The sequence below is a fragment of the Homo sapiens genome, chromosome 4 (genome assembly GCF_000001405.40).
Source record: "Homo sapiens chromosome 4, GRCh38.p14 Primary Assembly".
Taxonomy (NCBI): domain Eukaryota; kingdom Metazoa; phylum Chordata; class Mammalia; order Primates; family Hominidae; genus Homo; species Homo sapiens.
The window spans coordinates 123,378,210-123,389,883 of NC_000004.12; the positions used below are offsets into that span (position 1 = coordinate 123,378,210).

General features: G+C 41.1%; 1 annotated feature.

The window, feature by feature from the left end:
* Positions 436 to 1,154: an enhancer, noted in NCBI's record as "OCT4-NANOG hESC enhancer chr4:124299800-124300518 (GRCh37/hg19 assembly coordinates)". NCBI's record gives its function as "activates a minimal SCP1, AML or CMV promoter by ChIP-STARR-seq in naive H9 embryonic stem cells {active_cell/tissue: H9 hESC(naive)}" and the evidence as "EXISTENCE:reporter gene assay evidence [ECO:0000049][PMID:30033119]".

The window sequence follows — 11,674 nt, forward strand, 5'->3', positions numbered from 1 at the left end:
TCAAATATCACGTGTTACCACTTTCCCAAATTTTTGGCGTTTGCTGGAGAGACCTCATTCTCATGGGATTCACCATATAATTTCAGACTCACTGTGTACCAAATATAATTTTTAAAATTTTCCTGCCAAATAAGCCCTGTTTAAAATTCAGGTTAACACTGTCTCTACCTTCTATTAGCTCAAAACTTTCATGTTGCCTTTCTCTTTTTCGAATCACATGTCCAATCTCTTGCCAAGGCTCATGAATTGCCCTCTCACAAATTTTTTTTGTTTTATTCTGTTTTATTTCTTCCGGAGTTTCAGGACTTCACCAGGAATTAGAAAAGTGTATTCATAAAAACTCTGCTCACTTGATATTTTAGATCCCTTACCAAGATAAAATAATTGTGTACAGAATGTATAATGAGACTTTCAGATGATACTGTCTTTGCAAAAGAATTTTTTGCTGCTATTTCCATTTTTTCTTGCTGCTGCTTCAAACACAAGCAGAAATATATCTGGTTCTTAGTTTTATTATTTGTTAGTTTTACTACAATCACAGTTATATTGTTTGATTCTGTACCTTTGTGTTGAGTGAAATCAAAATATTTTACCCTAAAATACATTTCTTTGACATCTTTTGAAATGGCTGCCACGTGGCCAGCAGACTGAAGAGTGCTGCAAAGCTATCTTTTGTGGGAGAAATTTGCATCAGTAGAGAATCTCCATTAATGCAGCCAGACTTTCCCTTTCTAGGCCTTTCCTGGAGGTAGGAGAGATTAACTAAGAGTCTGACACCTTTAAAGGTCTGAAAAGAAACATTTACCATCTACACTCTCTGAAGGCTGCTACCTATGAGGCTTCATCTACATAACAAGGCCATCTTCACTAACCAAGCCTCTTCTTTTCTTCCTCCCATAACCTGTCTTGCCACTAACAACTGTTTTTGGCCATGCTCTGAGCCAGCATTCTTTCTGTAAGCTCAGGAGGGTATATAAGCTTCTGTACTTCATTGAGGAGTTTGGTCTTCATTCTGAAGGCTCTCATGCATGTTAAATAAATTTGTACACCTTTTCTCTTTTTAGTCAGTCTAACTCGTGGCAGTGATTTTTAGTGAATTGTTAGGGGGCCAAGGGCCTTGGCCTCCACAGTGTAGAATACCAAGATATAACTATGGAATATGTAGGTGGTAATAGAGGATATATATCTTTATGTCACTTTGGGTTTAGAGAAAATGAAATTAGGAAGAACAGTCTCAGGTTTTTCTTCTTCTGAAAATAACCCGAGATACTTGACAATAGTTCACAGGAGGAAATTACATGAAATAAATGTTGTAACATGGAGAATATAATCTGTTTCCTCCTGTCTTACTCAGGGTTAAGGAATTTTCATTTTTAAAGTAAATGTTTGTTTCTGCATAACTAATAGCTTAAGGAAAATAATTCTCATATTTTAACAAAGAATTTAAGAAATTCCCTTAGAACTCAGACCTAGCTAGGGTGACTACAAATACAGTATGCATACATTTGACAAAATTACCACTTCCTATCTTAGTACCAGAAGAAAAAGCAAGATAGAGAGCCAGCCTTGTTGGGAGATGAAAAAGAAGGAAATGGGACAAACTCCTAGATATTAAACAAGTCCTCCCCCAGCCCAGCACCACCTCAGAGCTCCATACATCTATCTCCTTCCCAAACATGTAAACTGATGTCAAATAAGATAATATGAACTGATTTGTGCAAATGATTGCAACTACTTTATAATTAAACATCTAGGGAATTATATATGTGAAATAGATATCTCTGCACATACTAGAGATTTAATTGCATCCTGGATTAAAAGAAATTTTGACCCAAGATTGAAAACAGATGCTCAATCACTTCAGGTCCCAACGGTTGCTTTGTAAGCAAGGGACACTGGATTCTGTGCCTTCAAAAATGTTTTCCCCAACTTCATTGTTTTTTGCCAAATACTCATTAAAGAAGAAACACAAAGAACTCCACTGTTAGATTTTTTTTCTGGGCTTCTTGAATGTTAGAAATCAACAGGATTAGCAATATTTGATTGGAAAATTTTCTTAGCATTTACTCTTGTGATTTGTCTCTAATCTGGAAGGAAACAGCTGACTTACTAAATCACCGTGTTACATCTTATTCTTCCAGCTTGTGAAAATTCAGTATCTGGAAATTAGATTGTGACTTGTCTCACTTTCTACCTTTATGTTTTTAACTTTATTCAAATGAGGAAATAACGTGTAATGGGAAGGTATTAGATATTCTTCCTCTTATTTTGCTGATGGGACAATGAGCCCATCCAAAAAAGACATAAAAATGTATTTGAATAGAGAAATATACTAACAATTCTTGTTGCTACTTTGTTGACTTGATCATTATAGAAAACAGAAGTAATTTGAATTTCCCCACTCAGTCCAGGAATTAGAGAGATCCTTTGTTTAATTACACAACATACATGGATTGAGCCTCGGGCACTGTGCTGGGGACTGTGGTATAATGGTGAACACAACAGATGCATCCTGGAGCCTTATAGTCTAGAAGGAAAGACAGATTTTAAACAAATTATTCTAAATAAATAATTAATTGCAACTGTGAAAAATTTTACAAAGAAGTACAAAGTATCTAATAATCATATCATTGAGGGAGACATATCATGCAAAGTTTCTGAGGTTAGAAAAACCTTGACACACTCCAGGAACTGAAAAAGTTCCAATGCAGCTGCAGCATAAAGAACTGAGGTGTGGCTGGAGAGAGAGGCAGGGGCCAGATCACAGTGATCTGAGGCCATGTTACCAAGTTGGGATTGGATTCTGCAGACAGTGGGAAGCAACTGAAGAGTTTTTATGTTAAAAAAAAAATAGTGATCAGATTCGTGTTTCAGGAATATCACACTATCGACAGCATGTAAACTAGTTCGGGTAAGCATTGATATGACTTGTGGCAGTGGTGTTACTGGAGAGCTTGTGAGAGATACAGAAAGTAGAACTGTCATCTTGGTAACTGATGGGGTATGAAGAGTAAGGAGAAGGTTTTTGATTTGAGCAAGTGGGTAAACAGTAGTGTCTTATACAGAGACAGGAAACACTAGAAGAGGAGATTTTAGTGTGTATGTGAAGAGAGGATATCATGTGTATTCTTTTGGAGTTACTAAGTTACAGGTGACTGTAAAACATCTAAACAGAATAAGCACTTATTTATGAGGGTCTGATGCTGAAAAGTTAAATCCAGGCTGGAGATATTTGGTTATGATTATGAAAAAGAAGCCATGGGAGTGCTGAGATCACTTAGAAAGACAGTGTGGTGTGACAGAAGATGACAGAGCAGTATGACCATAGATCCCAGTGTGCCTGGGATAGTCCTAGTCAACACCCATTGCCCCAGCACAATCATTAATTGTGCCCCTTGATAGAGTTTGAATATGTGTCCCCACCCAAATCTCATGTTGAAGTATAATCCCTAGTGCTGGAGTTGGGGTCTGGTGGGAGGTGTTTAGATCATGGGGGTAGACCCCTCATGCATGCTTGGTGGTACGTGAGCTCTTGCTCTGAGTTCACATGAGATCTGGTTGTTTAAAAACGTGTGGCACTTGTACTTCCCTACTCCCGCTCTCTCACTCGCTCCTGCTTTTGCCATATGATGTGCCTGCTCTCCCTTCACCTTCTGTCATGACTGTAAGCTTCCTGAGGCCTCCGTAGAAGCTGAACAGATGCCAGCACTTTGCTGCCTGTAAAGCCTGCAGAACTATAAGCAAATTGAACTTATTTTCTTTATATTCATAAATTACCCAGTTTCAGGTATATCTTCATAGCAGTGCAAGAACGGCCTAACAGAAAATTAGTACCGAGCAGTGGGGCATTGCTATAAAGATACCTGAAAATATGGAAGCAGCTTTGGAACTGGGTAACAGGCAGACGCTGGAAGAGTTTCGTGGGCTCAGAAGAAGACGGGAAGCTGATGGAATGTTTGGAATCTCTTAGAGACTGGTTAAATGACTGTGACCAAAATACCTTCACCCACAAACCTCAAATCCCCAAGTGCACACAGGCACAGACACACACTCACCTATATCCACAGGCAAAGAAAGTTAAGGTAGCAAGGAGGCAAATCTACACTGTATTAATGAGGTTTTCTATATAAAATTAGAGGTAAAGCTTGAATAAGGTACAAATGCATGTTAAAAAGTGAAGCCACATGTCCATGTAAAAACATTCCCTGGGCCAGGCGTGGTGGCTCACATCTGTAATCCCAGCACTTTGGGAGGCCGAGGCGGGCGGATCACAAGGTCAGGAGATGGAGACCATCCTGGCTAACGTGGTGAAACCCCATCTCTATTAAAAATACAAAAAATTAGCCAGGCATGGTTGCAGGAACCTGTAGTCCCAGCTACTCGGGAGGCTGAGGCAGGAGAATGGCGTGAACCCCAGAGGCGGAGCTTGCAGTGAGCCGAGATCGTGCCACTGCACTGCAGCCTGGGCGACAGAGCGAGACTCCGTCTCAAAAAAAAAAAAAAAATTCCCTGGCATTTGATTTTTCTTTATTTTTAATAAACATTTTTCTTTGAAAAATTTTATTAATCACATAAATCCCTTGGAGGCTGAAAATGTTTCTTGCTTGACAAATCATACAAGACATTTCAAGGCCAATGCAATGGCTCTAAATGCTTGAAGATTTTGCTCCTGGTGACAATGTGGGAAATTGAAGATGGGGGGAGGAAAGTTCTATATTACAGGGGATGCTGAATATTTCATTTCTTTGGACACATCTTCATCAAGACACCACTAGTAAGTAGTATGGCACAAGAAAAGGAGCTTTATACGGTGTACCTTTTAGTCAGAAAAAAAAAACAGGTTTCTTATGCATTTAATTGCCATGCAGAAAAAAACTTTAAGGCAGCTCATAATTTTCTGCATCTGATTATCAACACTGATCTATATTTACACTTGAGCTTTGTGTGTATGGAATGGGAAACAGGGTCTCACTCTTGCCCAGGCTAGAGTGCAGTGGTGTAATCACCACTCACTGCAGCCTTGACCTTCCCAGGCTCAGGTGATCCTGCCACCTCAGTCTCCTGAGTAGCTCAGACTATAGGCGCACATCCGCAGCTAATTTTTGCAGAGACAGAGTCTTGCCGTGCTGCCCAGGCTGGTCTCGAACTCTTAGGCTCAAGTGATCCACCTGCATCGGCCTCCCAAAGTGCTGGGATTACAGGTGTGAGCCACAGCGCCCAGCCTAGTGAAGAGATTTAATTAATAAGGGGAATAACTCCTTTATTTTTACCTTCATGTGTCCTGATTGAAACTTTCTGATTGTTTTCTGTATTAGGTCCCACAAAAATAGTGTCCAATTCAAAGATAAATTTGGGGCCTTAAGTACAATATTTCAACCACTAACACACATGTGTGTTATGAGCACTGAATAGGAATAAGATATCTTCAGAAATGTGGGTTGTACTTGGGATCTGCCTCACAAGAAGATTGCATGTGAAATTCTCTGAAGGTTCCCTGTGATGCACAAGGCAGAAGAAGCAGGTGTACACGAAAAATCAGAAGAACCAAAGCCCCAGGTGCGTGGTCTTTGATGTGAGAGATTTGCCATTCCCAAAGACATTATTGTTTCTGCTACATGTGGCTTAGCAAGCAGGACGTGGGGAGGGCCCTGGTAAGACAGTGAAAATCAGTCCCATGGAAGCTTGGTATCAGAGGTGAGACCCAGTACTATAGAAATTAGTGCTTTTTCTTCTTAAAATTTGGGACTAGAATATTTAAGCAAATGTGATATATTCTTACAGTGGAATATTGAGCATTTTTTCAATAATGTTTTAAATATCCATTGTCATCTCATTATATAAACACATCAGAAAACATGCACAGAAAAAAAGACATCTATAGCCATTTTGTGTCTTCCCAGTTCCACTTTGTGTATAACTAGTTGTACTTCGTTTTCTAGCCTTAGATATTTGTGTGGTTGTCTACTGTACATTTATAAGAATCCCGGGACGAGTGCCGTGACTCATGCCTGTAATCTCGGCATTTTGGGAGGCTGAGGTGGGCGGATCACCTGAGGCCAGGAGTTTGAGACCAGCCTGGCCAACATGGCGAAACTCCGTCTCTACTAAAATTTCAAAAATTAGCTGGGCATGGTGGTACATGTCTGTAGCCCCAGCTACTTGGGAGGCGGAGGCAGCAGAATAGCTTGAACCCGGGAGGTGGAGCTTGCAGTGAGCCGTGATCGTGCCATTGCACTCCAGCCTGGGCGACAGAGCAAGACTCCGTCTCAAAAAAAAAAAAAAAAAAAAAAAAAAAAAGAATCACCTAAACTTACCTTGCAATCTAACCATGATTAACACATGGCATTTCTTATTTCTCAGTTTTCTCGCCCAGATGACTGCCGTGGCTTCCTAGCAGCTGAGAGAAATGACCGCCTCTGCCCCTTCATCCTCTTTCCTACTGCCAAGGTGATCTTTCTCCTATTACTCCTAGGGCATGCATTTTTTATTTTTACTTTTATTTACCTATTTATTTTGAGACAGAGTCTCGCTCTTGTCTCCCAGGCTGGAGTGCAATGGTGCGATCTCAGCTCACTGCAACCTCTGCCTCCTGGATTCAAGCAATTCTCCTGCCTCAGCCTCTCAAGCAGCTGTGATTACAGGCGTGCACCGCCATGCCCAGCTAATTTTTGTATTATTAGTAGAGACGGGATTTCACCAGGTTGGCCAGGCTGGTCTCAAACTCCTGACCTTAAGTGATCCGCCCGCCTCGGCCTCCCAAAGTGCTGGGGTTACAGGCGTGAGCCACCGTGCCCAGCTAGGCATGCATTTTAGCTCTAGAAATGTATTTAAAGTTGTGTTGTGTGCAGTTGCCCCACTGACCCATCCTTGCTTCCTTCAGTGCAGTTCCATCTTATCTCTTTTATAGTCTAGGTTTTCAAACAGCACTTTTTGAGGGCAGGGGGAAATAGGTCACTGCTAAACAAGCTTGAAAACCACTCTTCTACAGGATACTATAGAACTTCTTTACATGGAATGTGATCTGATCTCTGCTTTCCTATCTAGCCTTCCCTTTTTCACTTCTACCTTCTTACTCTCTGAACTCCATATATATTGTATTAGTCCGTTCTCATGCTACTAAGAAAGACATACCCGAGACTGGGTAATTTATAAAGGAAAGAGGTTTAATGACTCACAGTTCAGTGCGGCTAGGGAATAGGCCTCAGGAAACTTAAAATCATGGCGGAAGGGGAAGCAAACATGTCTTTCTTCACATGGTGACTGGAAAGAGAAGTGCCGAGCAAACGGGGAAAAACCATCAGATCCGGCCGGGCACAGTGGCTCACGCCTGTAATCCCAGCACTTTGGGAGGCCAAGGTGAGCGGATCACAAGGTCAGGAGTTCCAGACCAGCCTGGCCAACATGGTGAAACCCCATCTCTACTAAAAATACAAAAATTAACTAGGCATGACGGCAGGCGCCTGTAATCCCAGCTAGTCAGGAGGCTGAGGCAGGAGAATTGCTTGAACCCGGGAGGCAGAGGTTGCAGTGAGCTGAGATGGTGCCACTGTGCTCCAGTCTGGGAGACAGATTAAGACTCCATCTAAAAAAAAAAAAAGAAAAGAAAAGAAAATCAGATCTCGTGAGAAGTCACTGACTATCACAAAAACAGCAGGGGGCTAACTGTTCCCATGATTCAATTACCTCCCATCAGGTCCCTCCCACAACACGTGGGGATTATAGGACTACAATTCAAGATGAGATTTGGGTGGAGACACAGTCAAACCATATCATGTGCCATGACCATTCTGCCCTCTATACCTTTGCACACTCAATTAGCTTTTAGAATGTCCTCCTTCTAGCTCCACCCACCACCAATGTTGTCTGCCATCCACCAAAGCTAAGCTCAGTGTGCCCTTCTCTGTGCAATATTCCCAATTCTCCCAGACAGACTTTGATGCTTATATTTATCAGGCTTATTGCTTATTAAGGAGCAGAAACTGAGTCAAGCCATCAAATATGATAAAAGAGAGATAGGAATTGCATGAGAATCAACAAAAATAAACCATCATAAGACTGTGCCACCTGAAGTGTCAAAGAGCTTTAGAGACCTCAAGCAACAGGCTGGGGGTGGATCTTCAATGGAATATCCTGTTATTGTCAGAGCAGTTCAGCTATCCTTTTCTGTCTACTTCTCTTCTTTCTACCAAATAACTTCCTCACCGTCTACTCTGTATACCTGATTTCAAATCCTTGTTCTCCCACATGCCGGCTATATAATCTTGGGCAAACTACTAAATCACTTTGTGTGTCATCTGTACAAAGGTGAGATAGGAAAAGCATAAGATTATCGAAGGAGAATATGTTAGCTATTGTATTCCATCAACTCCCAAATGCACATTTTCATCCACATTTTAATACCTCTGAAGTCGGGTTGGATTTTACAATTGCTGTCTGGCAGACAGGAGTCAAGTTGTGAGGTAGTTGTTATTGCCTGTCCATGTGCAAACGTGCTTGTTATTCCTGGCTGCATGACTGAACAACTGCAGCCTCTCCATGTTTGACTCAGGAAACTATTTAAGGACTATTTGAGGCAGGACTATGAGTCCTGGCTGCTGTCTGAAAACCTTTTATTGACACTTTTTGATAAGATCAAGAACATTCCAGTATCAAAACACAGAATAGGTTTTGGAAAAAATCCAGAGAACAATGATGCAGCAGTCTTTTAAGAACTGCTACATCTTTTAAGAAATGCTGCCCAATGCTCTTGATGGCCATAAGATTATCTTCTACAGAAAAACACAAGCATCGCCAGGCGCAGTGGCTCACGCCTGTAATCCCAGCACTTTGGGAGGCCGAGGCAGGCGGATCACCTAAGGTTAGGAGTTCGAGATCAGCCTGGCCAACATGGTGAAACCCCATCTCCACTAAAAATACAAAAATTAGCTAGGCGTCATGGCAGGCGCCTGTAATCCCAGCTACTCACGAGGCTGAGGTAGGACAATTGCTTGAACCCAGGAGATGGAGTTTGCAGTGAGCGGAGATTGTGCCACAGCACTCCAGCTCGGGCGACAGAGCGAGACTCCGTGCCAAAAGGAAAAAAAAAAAGAAAAACACAAGCATTAATGACTGAGTCAAAAAGTAATTCAGAAGAATCAGACTCTGAAGTAGTTTTAGGGACCCTAATATATTTATTTTGCTTACATTTTTCTTTTCAGGTGTGCACAAGAATGATATGTGACAAAATCTGTGCATAAATCAGCATTAAAAAGCCATATTAATAAGTATTTAATGTAAAACTATAAGTGATAAGGAAGCATTGTGTCAAGAGTGAATTAGCAGCATTTAAAAAAATTTCGTAGTAGTCCATAAAAGAAAAATGCATCATACAATTGACATCTTAGATTTGATGAAATGTGATATTTGGCCAGGCACGGTGGCTCCTGCCTGTAATACCAGCACTTTAGAGGCCAAGGCAGGCGGATCACGAGGTCAGGAGTTCAAAAGCAGCCTGACCAACATGGTGAAACCCCGTCTCTACTAAAAATGCAAAAATTAGCCGGACGTAGTGCGCACACCTGTAATCCCAGCTACTCAGGAGGCTGATGCAGGAGAATCCTTGAACCTGGGAGGCGAAGGTTGCAGTGAGCCAAGGTTGTGCCACCACACTCCAGCTTGGATGACAGAGCGAGACTCTGTCTCAAAAAAAAAAAAAAAAAGAAAAAAGAAACAAGAAAGATGATATTTTTGTTATTATTACCTAAGGATTTGTGTTTAGTCATCACTTTTACTAACTCATGGTCCCGCATCGCCCTTCTCTTCATGACTTTGAAGATTCTATTTCATAAAGTAACTGCCTTATTCTTTCCATAATTTCCAGGCTGGACCAGCTCATTCTTTTTTTCTAACAGTCTTTTTTTTTTAATTAAGAAAAAAGAGAGAGAGAGAAACCAAGACATCTTTAGGCTATGGCCTAGGCTATGGATTGGCTGTCGTTAGATCTTGAGCCTGAGCTCATCCCTATTCCCATCAACTGAGGCACTGCCTACAGCTAGCCCATGAATTTGTTTTCATCTTTGTATCCCTAATACTTAGCACAGTACCACACCTAGTACCAATACGCAGTTGTTAGATTGATGGGTGTATGAACCAAAATGATCTTGGAAGCAAGTGAAGTCCATGACTCACTTACCATATAGAGCTGGACAATGAATTGAAAAGTTTTAATTTTTTTCAAATCACAATAGCATCCCTACCTTACTTGCTATTACAAATATTTGATCTCAATTTTCTATAAGTGTAGTATTTGCAATTTTTTCATGGATTAAGGTTTCTTAGTATCTATACATTATCTTCACTGGGGAATTTTTCAGCAATCATTTTGATGGTCTAATTGATTAACTCTTTAATGGAACATAAATACTGCTTGATATCTCTGGGCCACAGCAGCAAATTATAATCAATATTCCATTCCTTGAGTTGGCCAGACATAGCTATAAAATATTAGTGATCTCTTATGCACACTTTTCTCCCTAAAAATGCTTTTTTTCTCCTCTTACTTCTTTCAAAATTGAACAGAAGTGAATGGAAGAGATTGCAATGCCTCTAACTTTTCTGATGAATATAGATTCATCAATTTTATTGTCTTTGGGATCAAGCCCAGATCATCATGTTGGCATTAAGGTCCCTCTGTAATTCGTCCTTAGCTTACTTATCCAATTTTGACAAGAAATCTTCCCTTCCACTCATGTAAGTCTTGTAAATTGACCACAATCACGATGTGCCTACACCTATTTGCACATTCCAGTATTTCCTTGTGCCATGCACTAAGGGTAAGCTGTCTTTTTCTTTTCCTCTTCTACGAATCCTATTTATTTTAGGATAAGTTTCAAGTTCTTCTTCCTATAATGATTAATACTTTATATTTTATAGCAATATATAATTTATGCTATGTGTTAACATAAATATTTCTCTTTGGTCTTAATTCTCCCTACAGCACCCTTTTAACATTTAACATAGCAGATCTTTCATAGCAGATCTTTTTTTTGAGATGGAGTCTCGCTCTATCACCCAGGCTGGAGTGCAGTGGCAGGATCTCAGCTCACTGCAACCTCCACCTCCCGGGTTCAAGTGATTCTCCTTCCTCAGCCTCCTGAGTAGTTGAGCAGTTGGGATTACAGGTGCCCACTACCACGCCCGGCTAATTTTTGTATTTTAGTAGAGATGGGGTTTTGCCATGTTGGTCAGGCTGGTCTTGAACTCCTGACCTCAGGTGATCCACCCACCTCAGCCTCCCAAAGTGCTGGGATTACAGGTGTGAGCCACCGTGCCCGGCCCATAGCAGATCTTTAAACATTTTGAACAGATAACCATCAGCTGCAAAACCTCTTATGACTTTAGAAAAAAATCCAGAGTCTTTATTATGGGCTACAAGGCTCTAAATGATATAGCTGTAGCCTTCCTTTCTGACCTCCTCTTTACCATGTTTCCTCTCCCTAGTTCCACGTGATATTTCCTAGGGCCTTTTCACTGGCCATTTCTCCTGCTGGATTCCTGCTTCCCCACTAGTGGCTCACTCCCTCACCTCATCATGGCTCTGCCCAAATCTCACTTCCTCAGAGAGACCCTTCTTGGCCACCCTCGCTAAAGCAGTCATCACCTCTCAACCCCTATCACTCCAGCCAAGCTTCATTTT